This window comes from Homo sapiens, chromosome 1, assembly GCF_000001405.40.
Source record: "Homo sapiens chromosome 1, GRCh38.p14 Primary Assembly".
Classification (NCBI taxonomy): Eukaryota; Metazoa; Chordata; class Mammalia; order Primates; family Hominidae; genus Homo; species Homo sapiens.
In genome coordinates, this window is record NC_000001.11 from 107,596,181 (window position 1) to 107,613,195 (window position 17,015).

Consider the following 17,015-nt stretch of genomic DNA (forward strand, 5'->3'; position numbering starts at 1 on the left):
AGCAAATTGTATTCTCAATTACAATACTTACAGCTGTTGCCTGCTCTATTACCCCTCTGTCCAGCTGAATGTTCTGGCTCCTTGTATGGAAACTGCAGAGTTGTATCTAAGGTTCTGAACCCTTCCTTGAGAGAATGATGCTTGTAGTACTCCACAAGTTCCTTTGGAAAAAAGAATCCAACATATTTTTGATAAGGATACTTTTGTTCTCAAACACATGAACTCCTGAGCACATAAATACAATAAGGATGACCAATTTAATGCTAAATTTTCCATAGGTATATGGAAGATTAAGCAAATGATAATCTCTCCCTGCTGTCTGGATGTACATGACACCTACCTAATAGCTGTCCTTGTTACTCAGGCCATTAATAATATGAGTTACCCCCTATTGTTATTCACAGATGGAGAACATCCTGTCTTCAGTCAGATGTAGCAAATGAAAAGAAACAATACTAAACCTCAGTTTCAGAGTAGTAATTATTGTTCTTATTTATGAAATACTTGCCTTTCTAAACCAAAATAAAAGGAACAGCTGCTTGCTGAATATACAGCAATTTCTACTTTCCTGCACTTATTTTCTTTCAAAATGGCAGAAAAACAAACTTATGCTTTTTCGTGGTAAACAAAAGTTGATAAAGCACAAATGGTACTTGAGACTGTTTTTAGTTTCTGATGAAGTATAGTACCTGTCATAGCTCCGCATATCTGCTACTCACAGAGGTCAATGTAATTCTTTCCAATTTTCTCTTATAAATAATTTGTCTTAAATACATCTAAACCTAATGTAATAACCACATGCCATCCTTCAGACTATCGTTTCAGAAAATTTCGCAGGTTGGTTTCATAGATTCTGCAGAAATCTGAATCTCTCTACTGTAAACTGAAACTGAATAATAATTCACAATAAAAATGTATCTTATCATCAAATGAGTCCTGTAGATATAAAATTTCTTATAAATATCTGAAATGAAAATAAACGAAAAATCACTTTTAACTTAATTATTCAATGTTTCTATTGGAGCGCCTTTTTAAAAATAAAAAATAAAAAAAAAAAAACAGAAAAAAAAACCACTTGTTTCTTCTAAAAATCCCACTGCCATCAACTTAATATCTCTGTTCAGTGGTTATGTTCAAAGTTCCCCAGACAAATCAATGAGTCCAAAAATCAGCTGAAAGAAGAAAAAGAGAATCATCAATGATTTATTATTTATGACAAAACTTGAGTATGTTGTGGAATGCACTGTACCAGGAGCTTCAGAGGTCACAGAGATTATAAAGATAAGCCTCCTGCCATTGAGGAATTCTCATCTTGGAAGGGAAAGTTCAAAGGCAGGAGAGAGAACTTTGTTTTGTGTATCCAATGGGAAGGGTGACAGAAAGTTTTGTAATACAAGTAGCTTGGCTTAAACTGAAGAACTAGTAAAATTACAATAGCCAGGAACCAGGGAAAGATCATTTTAGGTAGAGCAGGCAGGCTGGAAACAGACATAAAGGTGATAAACAAAGACCACCTTTCATAAGCTAAAAGCAGCATAGTTTGGCTAAAGCATTGGATAAGGGAAATGGCAATTTTTCAATCTCACCTATAAAATGGGGCTAATAAACCATTTCACAGATGATAACAAAGAATATATAAAGTACCTAATACATGTGAAAAACTGTAACAGCTACCCCATTATCCCATGTGCCAGGCCCTTTACATGGCTCCTTATAACTTTCACTCAAGAACATTATGAAATGGGCCTTATTCCCATTGAAGCTCAAATATCAGTGAGGTGAGTGAACTTAGGCAAAGTCACATAGCTAGCGCCTTTATCCAAAGTTTGTGCTCTTAACTGTATCATACTATTAGCAAATAGTGCCTAGCAAATGTAAATACAAAAACAAGAGCCAGGCATGGTGGTTCATGCCTGTAATCCCAGCACTTTGAGAGGCTGAGGCAGGCGGATCACCTGAGGCCAGGAGTTTGAGACCAACGTGGCCAACATGGTGAAACCCTGTCTCTACCAAAAATACAAAAAAGTTAGCCAGGTGTGGTGGCAGGTGCCTGTGATCCCAGCTACTTGGGAGGCTGAGGCAGGACAATCACTTGAACCTGGGAGGTGGAGGTTGCAGTGAGCCGAGACTTTGCCACTGTACTCCAGCCTGGGCAACAAGAACGAAACTCTGTCTCAAAACAAAACAAAACAAAACACCAAAAAACACACACACAAAAAACAGGGAGGCAAAAGTGAAATAGTTTTTGCTATGTGTTCATGATGTACTAGGAACTTTGTTTTCTTAGACTTAAAATGTTAGGGTCTTCCAAATATTATATCTATAACTTGAAAAATATGTATTTCTTCCTTTCTTCCTTGGGCCCAGATAATGTGGGTCCTTGTTGAAGCAAGAAATTTGTAATCAGACCGACCTTTAAAAGCAAAGAGAAAAAGAAACAAAAGACCATGTAGAAGTTTGTATCTCCAAAATGGTTTCAATGATCAGAATATGCATTTGTATTTTGGTGAATTTTAACATGTTTTGCGCAGACAAGGTATAGAATTAAATTCTACTTAGTGACCAATATTGCTATTCATTTTTTTAAAATATAAAGCAAAATTTTGTGAGGTCTCTGGAATACACACACACACACACACACACGTATACATAATGTCACTGATACAAACGATACCGAAGTTTCTCCTAGTCTTATTACTTAAATTGAGTAAAATGTGTTATTTTCTTTAGCAAATGTGAAAACAAACTTGAAAGGAATTATAAGCCATAGCTTTGAACTTCAACGTAATTTTGTTATAGGTAATATGAATTTTATGATTTTTGCTATGAATTACAATTTATGTGAATTTGGCTAGAAACCATAGAATTATCATACTGAAAAATGATTTGGTGATTATTTAATACTCGCCCACCCCCAAATTTTATGGAAGAAAAAATGAGTTTTCCAAGGCCTAGGGTCATGCGGCTTACTTAGTAAGCTGCAAAACACTCTTTATCACTTCACTAAGCATGGAAGATATTTTAGTTCCATTTTTACAGTCTTACGAGGGTAAATCTTCCTACATGTTTCTAACTGGGTAGAACTAAATAGTGTCACCATGGATCTTTTCCAATTTGCCTTTATGCTTTCTGTATTTTAGTCTAATCCACCCCTGCCTTAACAGTCATTGACCTTCAGGTACAACAAGTAAATAAGAAGACTCTAAACAAAAGAAATCGCTAAGCTTTCCTTATCTCACACTGACACAGCAGTGTCAACAATTCAAGTCTCTCAAAAATAATGAGTGAGAGCCAGTCATTCCAATTACCAAGGAAACAGGCAATGGAGATGGTTTATAAACAGCATTTGGACATGGACTGTCTCGCATACATGAAAATTAGAACAAAATTAATGCCTTGTAATCTGGATACAGAAATTCATTTAGGATTTGAATTTAATGACTAAGAAAGACAAAGATTCTGATTAACCAAGCTATTGAAACTCAAGGGAAAAAGGTTAGGTCAAAACCACCTAAGGCCAATCTTCTCACTGAGAAACCAGTTAATTTAAAAGAAGCTCTGGAGTTTGCTTATGTTTTACACACTTTCCAGATTTAAATTTAATTCCAGGCCCTATTGTGTTTCACAGATAGAAGAGTAAACTAATACCAATAACAAGAGGATACTGAACTATTCTTAAGAAACAACTCAAATCCACAGATCACTCCTTACTTATAATAGACAAGTGTGTTATTTGACTCCAACATGATAAAAGGTAACTCCATGAAGTCTGTATGATCTTGATTTTGAGAAACCTTCACACCAATTAATCATCTTCTACCTCCTTCCAGAAGTTCAGGTTGCTAAAACATGAGCCATTCCTTCTGACCAAGTATCCATGTGGCATTTCCCAGCCTAGGTTCCAAGGACTGCTCTATGGTGAGGTTCTTGGTGTAGACGTATTTACTGATTCTTAAGCTTCTTTTTAGAATGGTTAAGTCCTTTTGAGTTCTCCAGAAAGTGATTTCACATTGTAAGGACTCAATATAAATTTGCTCAACAAATGAACAGAAACAAAATGGAGGGGTAGCTTCAGATTAGTTCAGCTGCCTCTTCAGCAATTTTTATAGTTATTTACTAAACTTGATAAAAGCACTTTTCTGATATTGAGATTTTTTTTCCAGCTCCTTGTTTTTCTTTTCATAATTACATCCTTTGCTAATGTTTGTTAGTTTCATTTTGCTTTGCTAAAATTCTTAGTCCCTTCCCTTTAACACGCTGTGATACGTGCTTCCTTACAAAAGATGCCCAGATATGGAGACGAAAACACATATGCACGTGTCTCTAATAGTGGCATTGCTGAGATTTTATACATAACATATAAGAAAAGCTTACTTTAGTCCTGTGACAAGTACTTTTAGTTATTTTTCCAGAGAATATCATTGTAGAAACTTTTAAGGCTCTCTGGCACAATTTTTTTTTAATGCTGGGTCTCTATTGCTTTCACTATAATCACAGCTTTTACATGCAGATAGGAACTCATGTATCTATGTCTACCAATCCAGGTCACTGTGGTATTACTGGCTTTTCACATCTAACCTTGGCTTCTGAAGAACTGCCTTGAGCTGAACCCAGGTGACACAAAGCTAAATTCATTGGCCCTTTTCAGTGACGATTCCTTTCATCTTCTTTGCTTGTCTCCTCTGATGGGAGTTACTTTTGCTACTTTCAAAGTCTGCAAGGCTGGCAGTTATCTTTGGCTCTGCAGCAGTTTTTTAAGTCCCATAGTAACTATAACACTGTGGAGCAGCCTCATTACCATCCAAGGAAGTTCTGCAGGTGAAAGCTCAAGCTGGTACGTCTTGCAGAGATGTGGAGAGCCCCTGTGCGTGCTTTTATCATGTCTCAGCTGTGTCTGTCATTCATTATTTGTGCATCCACTTGCCACCTCCCTCCAAGTTTTCATTTTATGAAGAACCTCCTCTGGTCCAATTCTCTCTGTGCTCAGCCTGCTTGTTTCAACAGAATGTAAGTTACTTCCAGCAGGGAGGATGCCTGGATCTTGGTTACAAATTTGACAGAGTTTACATTTTCCAGGACATGACCTTGCTGCCCATCCTTAGCTTTTGAACTGGGAATGATCTTTACATCCATAGAGATTTTCTTATTTTTCTTTCAACTCAAGATGCTTCAATTTCTTTAAAACACTGACACCTGCCTTGAAGCAGTTCTACATTTTTGGATAAGGCATTCAAGCTGGCCTATTTTGTAAGGCTCCCTTACACTCAGTTTAACTTTAATGTTAACATCTGCAAAGTGCTTTGAGATGTTTTCTGGAAGGATGCAGTATGTATCATTTGATTGATGGTTCATTCAATGAGTGGTCCTTCCCAATGTTACTCAAGGTACTTAGCAGTACAAATGCATCTTATGTCCTATATCCAAACTCTTCATTATCTCAGAAACTACCAAACTTGAGAAACATACTTGAGACCACTTAAGGAAATGTGAATTTAGAGTTTACTGTTAGCAACGCATACATGATGATATATACACATTGTTTAAATGACATACACAAAATATTCTTATATGCTAACAAAAGTATGAATAAGTTCTATTTTTTTTAAACTGGGAATAATCCTTATTCATTTGATGTGATTTGACAATATACTATTTCCATTTAAATATACAATTCCTATGAAATATCAACTGTTAAGTGGCAAAAATGTTACCTTGTTAATGCATAATTATCTAAGGTAATGAATGAGAACCATGGTAGAGATCACTTAAAATAGCAAAAAATACAAAAATCTTTTCAATTTGACTTTATATTGCATTTTATAAAAAATGAACCTAAATGTTAGACATATTTTACTAATTACAACTTTTTGTGTTATAATTTAAAATACTGTCCTCTGCCTGAATCAGGACATAGAGGCAAAGGAAGAAAAAAAGAGGAAAGAAAGGTATATTTAAAATCTGCTGTATCATTTAAACACAAACCAAAACTCTATCTAAACCTGCAAACAATTTACAATGAAGATTACGATTCGAGCAATATAAAACTTAGAGATTTATAAATTAGAATTTTCAGGATTTTGTTGCAAAATTAGAATATGATTATCTTTAAATAACTTTTCAGTGAGCAAAATTTCCAAGAAACTATAGAATTAAAATGACCTTTCTAACAAAAGAAAAATAAGGATCCCAGATTGAAAAGAAATAATCAATGCTTACCATTAAACTTTTAAATTTTCTATTTTCTGCAATGTGAAAAAAGCCATCTCTTGTTAAAATCTTGATGTGCTTTGCTTCATTATTGTACCTGTGGGCAATGAATAACTTATGAATATAAATGTGTTTTTAATCAGTAGAAATCAATAATTACCAGAGGGCATGCCCCAATAACATTTTAGGAATTAATTCTGCAGACAAAAATATATACCTATGCCAATACACTGGTGACAGCTAATTAACAAAATATATTTACTGGATTGGTTGAGGATACAACCAATATTTGAAGTGAGAAGGGAGGTTGGATTTGACTATTCATTATGCACAATTTATTAAGTTCAGTTTGAGAATACAGAAAAATAAGACAAAAATCTAGAAATTTATACTGTTAGTATTTACTAGAAATATACACACATCAAACCACCAAAACACAATATTATGAAAGAAATCTAATATGCCAATTAGCAACCTATAACACTTTTTACTGTTTTTCAAAGATATATTTTCAAGTATTAATGAACTGTCTGGATAGATGCATTATTTCTCCTTCAATTAGAACTTTGGTTTTCACCTTCAGTGTTATACATGTCAGATGGTCTATGCAATTATGAAAACAGGAAATCTATTTCTGTAAAAGTACTTGTCCTACTTACTTAATGCTAATTGCATATTCTCCTGACTCTTTGGTCCTGTGCCTCACAAGGTAAGTACTATTTACCCTATTAATAAGTTCGGTCTCTGCTTGCAATCTTTCCATTGCTCCAGCATACCTGTAAAAAACAATGACACAGAAAATTTGGATAATATACCTGGAAGAGAACAGAGGCTAAAAGTAAGTATCTCTCAATATTTAATTTAGTGGCAGATCTGAGCTGTTGGTAATTCTATACTAATTACATTGTTTAAGAAAAATAAATCAGAAAAAGGTCCTTTAATACGTCCAAACACAAATGCTCTACAAAACTAACAACAGCAAAATGAACAATGCCTAATACCCACTAAGCACCTAGTAAATAAATGGGACACAGAGGAGTCAGTGGGTATTGGGTAAAAAGACAGTTGTGGGGAGCTTAGGGACAGGAAGGAAAAAGACTTGTAGGGAGAAACTGCCCTGTATAAGATACACAGACACATTTATTTTAGCTTTTCTATATATACTATGAAATGAAATCTCCTTTAAGTATCTTTTTAAAGAAAATTCTAGCAATAAGTTATTTTAAATAGTTTTTTGTTATGAGATTAATTCATTCGTCCACAATTTTGATAAATTTTCTTAAGCAATTAGTAATAATGAGTAAAATTTACTTTTAAAAGGTAGATTTTTTTTTTTGCATAGAAAGAACATTTCTCATTCTCTTTATTTGCTAAATACAGGCAAGCCCAAAGCAATGCAGTCTATTTAACATGCTAGTAACTTTTTTTTTTTTTTTGAGACAGAGCTTCTCTCTCTTGCCCAGGCTGGAGTGCATGGCACCATCCCAGCTGCCTGCAACCTCCGCCTCCTGGGTTCAAGGGAGGCCTGTGCCTCAGCCTCCCAAGTAGTTGATACCACCGGTGTGGTTGATATTTTTCAAAACCAGAATTCAATCTCCCTAGACTTTGCTGGCCTTAAACATACAGAAACTCCATAATAACTGTAATAATAAAAGGCCAAAATTCAATCTTAAAATAATCTTTAATGACCCCTCAAATCATACATAGGTGTAAAATCTCCTGGCAAGTTACATCAGAGATTTTAGTCAATAGAACTTAAAAGAAAAATTCTGTTTAGATTGGTTCTCTTTCAAAGCTAGTCAATAATTAATGTATCCGAAAATCCTCTGATTCACATATAGACCCACGTAACTTTGTATAAACATCCACCTGTAATGCAAACTTAATATTCATTTAAAACGCACATGACAGGCATTCAGCAAAAGTTTGTTGATGGAGGACATGTTAGGTTTCCATCTAGTATAAAAGAGGAACTAAAGGCATTTTATGCAGATGGTACCTTGCGTTAAAAGAAAAGTTATAACAACTCATGAACTACTAGGACCTAGTATAATCTGACTCATGCCTACCTCTCTTCAACCTTATCTCTTACATCTACCTTCATCACTAGTCTCCAGCCTTCTTTCAGATCCAGGAGTTTCTCAAGCTCCTTTTGCGCTTAGGGTCTTCTCACAGACTGCACTCTTGTCTGGAAACACTCATACCCTATCAACACAATATTCCTTCTCATTGTTAAGGTTTAGAGGGGTCTTCTCTGACCATACCATCTAAAGAATGTTGTCCTGCATCTTGTACTACCTACTCCATTATTCTCATTACAGTATTCCTATTTTTGTGGCACTTATCACAATTAGTATTGAGTGTATGCATTTTTATCAAAGCTATGCATTAATATAGTTTTAAAAGTCCATTCACATTATAATAATGAAAAAGCAGCAGTATTCCATCAGACCAGCATTCTACTCCAAGTTCCCTTTCAAACACTGTACCTATTTTTTATTTCTACTTGTGTATTTCTAAACAATTATATGACAATTTCTTATCAATTTTAAACATAAGGAAGGAAAACCATCTTCTTCCTGCCACCTGTGCTCACTCCTTTATAGTGCTGTTCCTCACTCTTGTCTTTCTGTAACCTCTACAAAGCCAAGCTGTCATCTGGCCTAGTTTTGGCAGGGTGTTCATTCAAAGAATATCTGCCCTCCAAAATAAAATTGCTCATGTTTTTGTTTGTTCAAGTTCTCTGTCTCTATCACAGATTCTTTCCAAATATACCTCCCAAAAATACATTTTTCAACAACATTGCTATGGTTTGAATGTCCCCTTAAAACCCATGTTGAAATTTAAGTATTGTTATAAGAGTATTGAAAGGTAGAATCCTTAAAAAGTGATTAGGTCACGGGGGCTCTGCCCTCATGAGTGGATTAATGACCTTATCATAGGAGTGGTTAGCTATCTTTGGAGTAGGTTCCTGATAAAAAGAATGAGTTCATCCACTACTCTCTCTCTGTCTCTCCCACTGCTTCCTCGCTTTGTGATATCTCCTGCCATGTTATTATGCAATGAGAAGGCCCTCACCAGATGCAGCCCCTCGATTTTGGACTGCCCAACTTTTAGAACCATGAGACAAATAAATATATCTTCTTTATAAGTTAACCAATCTCTGTGGTATTCTACTATACACGTTGAGCATCTCTAATCTTAAAATCTGAAATTCAGAAACCTCCAAAATCTGAAACTTTCTGAGAGTCAGCATGTTTCCACTAAAATGCAGATTATAGTCAAAATGCAGTCGAAACTTTGCTTCATGCACAAAATTTAAAATATTACATAAAATTACCTTCAGGCTTTGTGTATAAGATATATATAAAACATAAATAAATTTTGTGTTTACACTTGGGTTCCATCCTGAATATATCTCATGATGTTTATGCAAATATTCCAAAATCTGAAAAAATCTGAAATTCAAAACACTTCCGGTCCCAAGCATTTTGAATAAGGGATACTCAACCTATAGCTGCATTAATTGAATTAAGACAACCACATAATCTACCTGTTAATTTTCTCTGGAGCCTTTTCTTCTGAGCCCTCCACGCTCTTCTAATTGATACTGCTTGCTCTACTAAGCCTGTTGAATTACTGTAGTCCTGGGACTTCTCTTTGCTCCCCTTTCCTGGCTTCTATATCTCCCTCTTCCTTGATTTACTAGCTCATCCTTCAGCTTTTTCTAAACATACACAGGATGTAACACTCTAAAGTCCCACATCTATGAAAATATTTTATTTTACCTAGTAATTCATAGTTTGGCTATGAATATTATTGCAATATTCATAGTTTGGTTATTGGGTAAAGAATTCTAGGTGAGAAATTATTTTGCCTCTCAAATATTAATACATTGATTCATTGTCTTCTAATTTCCATTCAATACCATTTCTAATTCTTTGTATGTTGCCTGATTTTTTTCTCCCTAGAAACCTTCAAATTCTTTCTGTATTCTCTATATACTGCAAAATTTCGTGATAATGTGTTTTTTATATTGTCCTTGCCTTTCAGAAGTATCTTCAATTTGGAGCCACATGTCCTTCGGTTCTGAGAAATTTCTGTATCATTTCTTTGATAATTGCTGCCCTTGGTTTTCTCTTTCTGGAATTCCTGCTACTTGAATGCTGTATCCCCTGGGTCAACAGTCTAGCTTCCATATAGCTTCTCTCATATTATCCATCTCTGACTTTTTGGAAGATTTGCTAAACTTTATTTCCCAAGTCTTCTATAATATTTAACTTATAAGAGCTCCTTTTTATTTTGACTGTTTTCTAAAACATTGAGCTTACTTCCAATGAACTTAAGTTTTCTCTTAATTTTGAAGATGTAAATAAAAGTTTTTTTAAGGTGTCTGCTCACTCCAATGGTTTCTTCTTTTTTTTTTTTTTTTTTTTTTTTTTAGTTCAAGGGTTTCCTCAAATGTATGGTTACTCTTTGTTGTTTGTTACTTAAGAAGGATGCATCCACAATTGACTGGAAACTCTGTGTGTGTGAGCACCAAAATAGGTCCACTGGGTAGGAGTCTGATCTTTTTTTTTTTTTTAAGATGAAATCTCACACTGTCACCCGGGCTGGTGTGCAGTGGTGTGATCTCGGCTGCCTGCAACCTCCACCTCCAGGGTTCAAGTGATTCTCCTGCCTCAGCCTCCCGAGTAGCTAGGATTACAGGCACCCACAACCACGCCCAGCTAATTTTTTGTATTTTTAGTAGAGATGGGGTTTCACTATGTTCCAGGCTGGTCTTGAACTCCTGACCTCATGATCCGCCCACTTCGGCCTCCCAAAGTGCAGGGATTACAGGCACGAGTCAACACGCCCAGCTGAGTCTGATCATTTGACAAGAACCTGAAGACTGAGCTGGGAAACACCCAAAGGTCTGGATTTTAGATTTTTAACTCTATTTCGTTTCTTTGGCCAAAAATCTTCCAAATTCCTGTCTGAATACCAAGACAGGGTAGTATGTGTATATGGGACCCAGCTGTCACAGTGCTGAAACTGAGCTACACAAGAGAACTGGAGAGCATCATCACTCAGTATACAGAGCCCTCTGTTTTCACTATGGCATCTCCCCAGTCTCTGCTAGGCTTGATCTTTCCAAATCTAGGCCCTACATGGTTCACCTTTTCCACATAATATACCTTCTAACTCCAGTGTCTCCTGCCACTGCAGGAAAGGGCAATTTGTCCGGACTACCATGGGAAAAGGCAGGGACCCTGACATCTATCTCTTGTTCTGCATACAGATTTTAGGATAGTTCCCCAGTTTGCAGTCCCAAATCTCATTCCTATCTTTTGATACCCCGAAACATAGATTATTGAAGACAATCATCTTAATTTTCTATTTTATTTCATTCTGTATGCAAGAGACAAAATTTACCTTGTGCAAACAACTTACTTTTAAATGTAGAAATAATGAGTAGATAATATAGTTGGTGATACTTAACTTCTCAGTGACTTGAGAACTACCATGCCATCAAGCAAAGTAATTTTCTCTAAATAGTTTAGTATTTCTAAAATTGAAGGTTCTATTTTCTGGGGGAGTTGATCATTTTGTTCCCTAGCAGAAGACATTTCACATCAAACTGCCTGCTTAGTTTAAATAGATTGTCCAGGTTGCTCAAGAAAAAAAGAAAAGTAATTTAAAATTCTACTACATCTTTATTTCTTCCTATTTTCAAGGCTCTCCCTTTGCCTGAACATCTTGCTTTTATAAGAATAATATTATTCTAACTGGTCATATTTTCAGTAGGATTTTACATATTGGCAAGGGTGCATTTTAAAACTAAGGGTACAAAACCTACCTTCGGGTGCCCTGAATGGTTCTTAGGTACCTAATAAGTTTATTTCATAAAATCCATGCAGTTTGAGGTATTAGCATTTTATCTCTCAAATCATTACCTTTGTAACTATAATGCCCAGTTACATGAAAAATGGTATAAGAGAAGAAACCTAATCATCACACTTTCAAGATTTTTAACAGTTCCTGATGTTTTTCAGTTTGATTATCAATGCTATCAGCTCTAGACCTCAAATTAAATTTCTTTCAGGACTATAGTTTAAAATTCCACAGACACTAATGACTTCAAATTGTCTTCAATCAGGTAAAAATGAAGCACATTCCCAGTTCTATCACAAACCTGCCACAATTTCTTCAGCAAGCTCAGTGCTGAGGCCCAGGGAGGGATATCAGGAAGGGTAGACAGTAACTACAGAAGGCAGAGTGACTGCCAGAGGAGGGAAGGTGGAGGAGGGCCCGAGGAGAGTCCCATACATTGCACAGTGGATTCCTACACTTTGAAAAGTAACTCAGCATTTTCCATGCTTTTGTTATAGAACAGAAAATAATCAGAACATGTAAAAAATATCAGATAACTCACATGGTAACATGCAAACCCAACTAGTACTATATATTCCCAGGATATTATATTTATATATGTATTCTGATATCTCATTTCTATGCATGTATTTTAATACCAATAAATTAAAAATAGATTCAGTCTTTTTAAGAGAAGTCAAACACAAAATTCAGGAAAACAAATAGAAATGAGTAATGTGTTCACATTCTGCATTTTGGGGGCAGTATAGCAATGTACAGATGGCATAACTTGGAATTCTGGCTTTACCACTCACTAGTTGCATGCTCTGTTTCTTTGTTTCTTCACCCATAAAAAATAACAACAGTCACCACCACTTTTCTTATATAAATGTTGAAGAAATAAAACAAAACATGTACAGTACAAAGCACATATAGTAAATACTCAGTATATATTAGTTATTATGACATCATGACTATACTAAATCCTAAATATATTTTTTAATAGTTGGAGATATCTAGAAAATAATAATTACTATCCATTACACTTCCTAGGTTTTGTTAATGATACTTTCAGCCTCCAAGTGGTAAGGGTGCCCCATCCTTATATTTTGTTGCTCTCATATGTTGTAAATTTTATTTTTAGAAGCTACTAGTGTCAACCAGAAGCAGTGGCTCACACCTGTAATCCCAGCACTTTGGAGGATCACTTCAGCCCAGGAGTTCAAGGCTGCAATGGGTTATGATGGCATCGCTGCACTCCATCCTGGGTGACAGAGCAAGACCCCATCTCTAAAACTATAAAAAATAAAAAAAAAAACTACTACTGTCCTTTTTGAGCTAATTTTTAGTTTTTAGACAATGAAAGCATATTTTTCTCTCTGCTTTATTAAATCTGTAAAATATAAGATACATATGCGTATGTTCCATTCCTTTCTGTGGCTGGTATAAACTTTAAATTATCAGTCTAGGGCACTGGGCACTCGCATGCACACACACCCCCCTCGCAGATAAAGATATGGAAAGGTCAGCAATACATGAATTCATTATGGTGTTTTGTTACATCTGAAAACACCTTTAGCCGAGACAAATGGAAATGGAATATGGTTTACTACCCCCACATTTAAGGCATCCTGGAGCTAAGGGTATGGTATTTCAACCTAGCTACATAAACATTTTTAATACTTACCAGGGTTGGCAAGAATAATCTACTGGTTTGGGCACCTAGGATATAAAAAAGCAAAAACAGATTAAGTTTACATAAGGGAAGCTTTTAGAAATCAATCATTAATTCAGTTCAGCTGACTCAGCTCTATAAAACCCTAAGTGGCACAGTCCTGGAACTATCCATTGGTAATTTTATACAGAGTGAATCATAGTATCTGTCAGATAAGTAGAAAATAATTCATTTCACTTTAATTCATTCTTTCATTCATTTTACTGCCACTGTAACTCTAAGAGGAGAGATAGCAGGCGAATATGAACTGGAAACTTTTAATATTTATTATCAAGGCAATTTAATCCTACCAAAGAAAACTAAAGTGAAAACGTTATTAAGAAAACCGAATAGCACTTTACTTTTCCAAGACCTTGGAAAAACATGCAAAATAAAAAATATACACTGGATGTGGGTATTTAATATTTTTAATATTTTATTATTTATTATCAAGGCAATTTAATCTTATCAAAGAAAATTAAAGTGAAAACATTATTAAGAAAACCAAATAGCTCTTTACTTTTCCAAGACATTGGGAAAACATGCAAAATAAACAATATACACTGGATATAGACTCTTATTTTGTAATAAATTCCAAATTCTGATTTAAAAATCTACCAACTAAGAACCTTTTATTCAGAAAAAAGGCATGGAAAATACTTATTTTTCCATTTGTTTCACATAGAGCTTCGCACAAGGAAAAATATTGCATTTGCTATTCAAACAAAGAAAGAAAACTTGTAGCTGCTAATGGTCAAATAGAAAATGAACAAAGACAAAGCAGGTATATTAATGTTAAAAATAAGAAATAAAGTACATTCTATAGAGAGGGTTACTTTAAAAATTCCTACGAATAGGAGTACAGATAGTTTGTCTCATGTCCAAATATCTGATATATGCATTCCATGCTATTAATGGGATTTTTATATTTGGTGATTGAAAATACTGTTCCCTCATTTGGAACAGTAAAAACTATAGTATTTCAGAGAACTAGCCAATGTGAACATGTCTCTAGCCATGCTGGTCTTCATAATGTGCTGTTACTATTTTGCCCTTCCAGGTTAAGAGTTATCTACAGGTTGAGCATCCCTTATCTGCAATCCTTGGGACTAGAGATGTTTCACATTTTGGATTTAAAAAAATTAGAATATTTGAATTACATTCCACATCCCTAATCCAAAAATCTAAAATCGTATGTGCTCCAATGAGCATTTCCTTTGAGCATCATGTCAGTGCTTAAAAAGTTTGGACTTTAGAGCATTTCAGATGTCAGATTTTCAAATGAGGAATACTCAAACTGTATCAAAAATCATCTTTCTAGTCAGAACATTTCTTTGATTATTAATATTCAAATATTTTTATCCTATGGATTACATTTTTAAAATCACAACTTTGTAAAATCCTAATAAACAGCAATTAATGTTGAAGGTAAATTATACCCATTCTAATCATTCAAATAGTTTCTTACATAACTTTGCTTTCACAAATAAACTGATCTTCAATAGTTCACCCTTTGATGACAAGATATACATGGCTTCTGAAATGTGATGCGAAAAATATTTCCTCTTTCCCTCTCCCTGTGTTCTTTAAAAGTATAATGTATATATTTATTCTTAAACCAAGCTTTCCATAGAGAACCAAAAAAAAAAAACAAACAAACAAACAAAAAAAAGGAGACAGGAAGGAGGAGAGTAAAGAATTTCAAAATATTCTGGCTGTGGACTCCTTTGGCTGTTAAAAAGGCTGGAGATCCAAAAAAGGAAACAGTGACAGAAGATTCTAAAACAGAACAGGTAACTGAGGCTGTTCCACCCTGGTGTCCCACTAGAGCTTTTCTCTCTTCAGTGGGTGCATTCTGACATGTGAAGATCCAGGACTACCTTCCCAGCCATGATCCATATTACTCAGGTGGGGTCCTATCCTTTTCCATCAGTCATAGGCCCTCTGCACTTTCTTCTGTGTACTATGGGTCCTTGTCTGGCAAGTACTTCATATTTAAGATTACAGTTAATTTCCTTTTGGGAACTTTTTCATCTTTGAGTATATGGTTACTATTTTTCTCTAATGCCATTTTCTCCCAGCACCATAGTCCATTAACACTGCAAAACTTCTGCTATGAACATGTAGTTTTTAAAAAACATTTTATTGAGAATATAGTATCCGTACAAAATTATATATATATATATACACACACACACATACATACAGAAATATTTATATTGGTCTATATATATATATATAAATAAATATATATGTGTCTATTTATGTGTGCTTCTTCCTGAAGTATACCTTATGAAGCTAGATGGCACACTTAGAAGTGAAGTTTGTGTTTGTTTGAATAAACTATCACGATTTCATCCTTTTTTTGAGAAATTTCTAAGAGGATAGTAATTTTCTCTCACAACTTTTAACATATTCTTATTGTTTCAGATATTAATTCAGACATTGTAGTTTCACACTGTACAATCTCTACTTGGTTCTTTTGTAGTTCCTATTTCTCTTTTGAGGTTTTCTGTTCATTCATTATGAACATGTTTTCCTTTGTGTCCTTGAGCACCATGATAACAGCTGCTTTTAAAATCTTTTCCTAAGTCATCAAACAGGAAATCACAGGGTTGATCTCCCTTCATTCTCTTTTCTGTTAAGTATGGTTCACATTTTCCTGCTCCTTTGCATACTGAGTAATTTTATATTGTATCTTGGACAATTTGAATGAATGATAAACTGTAGAGGCTCTGTATTTTCTTATGTTCCAAAAAAGAACCTGGCTTTCCTTAAAGTTTATACACAGAATTTGAGGTTTCCTCTCTCTGACTCTTTTTAAGACTTCCTACCTCCTTTTCCAGCTGCTGAGACTGCTTTAAACTCACTCCATAATCTGGTTCTTTAAGCCAGAAATACCATAAGGTTTCTATCTGAATTTTAGCTACCCTGCATGGTACAATCCAGTGCCTGCCTTTGAGCTAGCCATAAAACAAAGAAACTCATCCTAGTGCCATTCCTTTTTCCAAGTGTCAATCTTCTCCTGGGCAGTGCCTTCAGATAGTTTTGTTTTGATATTTTGTCCACAAGTTATAGTTATGTGTGGGAGTATTGGTCCAATAGGAGCTATTCAACAGTTACCAGAAGTGGAAACTCTTGTTGCTTCTATTATTTCTGTTGTTAGCTGGGTCTAATAATCAACCTTTTATAGATAATCTGTCTTTTCTCTCAGTTTTAATATTTGTCTTTAATGTCT

General features: G+C 34.9%; 1 protein-coding gene across 11 annotated transcripts in view; it reads right to left on the reverse strand.

Moving 5' to 3' along the window:
- The window catches only part of VAV3 (vav guanine nucleotide exchange factor 3), a 394,020-nt gene that overhangs the window by 25,020 nt on the left and 351,985 nt on the right, over positions 1–17,015 (reverse strand). For all 11 annotated transcript variants that reach the window (XR_007063680.1, XM_017000053.2, NM_006113.5 and 8 more), the window contains 4 exons: positions 13,751–13,785; positions 6,867–6,983; positions 6,217–6,304; positions 32–161 (listed from right to left, as the gene is read on the reverse strand). Coding sequence is in view for 10 of the 11 variants with exons in the window: in XM_017000053.2 (XP_016855542.1) it covers positions 32–161; positions 6,217–6,304; positions 6,867–6,983; positions 13,751–13,785 (370 nt within the window). In the remaining variant the exon portion in view is untranslated. The remainder of the gene's footprint in view (positions 1–31; positions 162–6,216; positions 6,305–6,866; positions 6,984–13,750; positions 13,786–17,015) is intronic.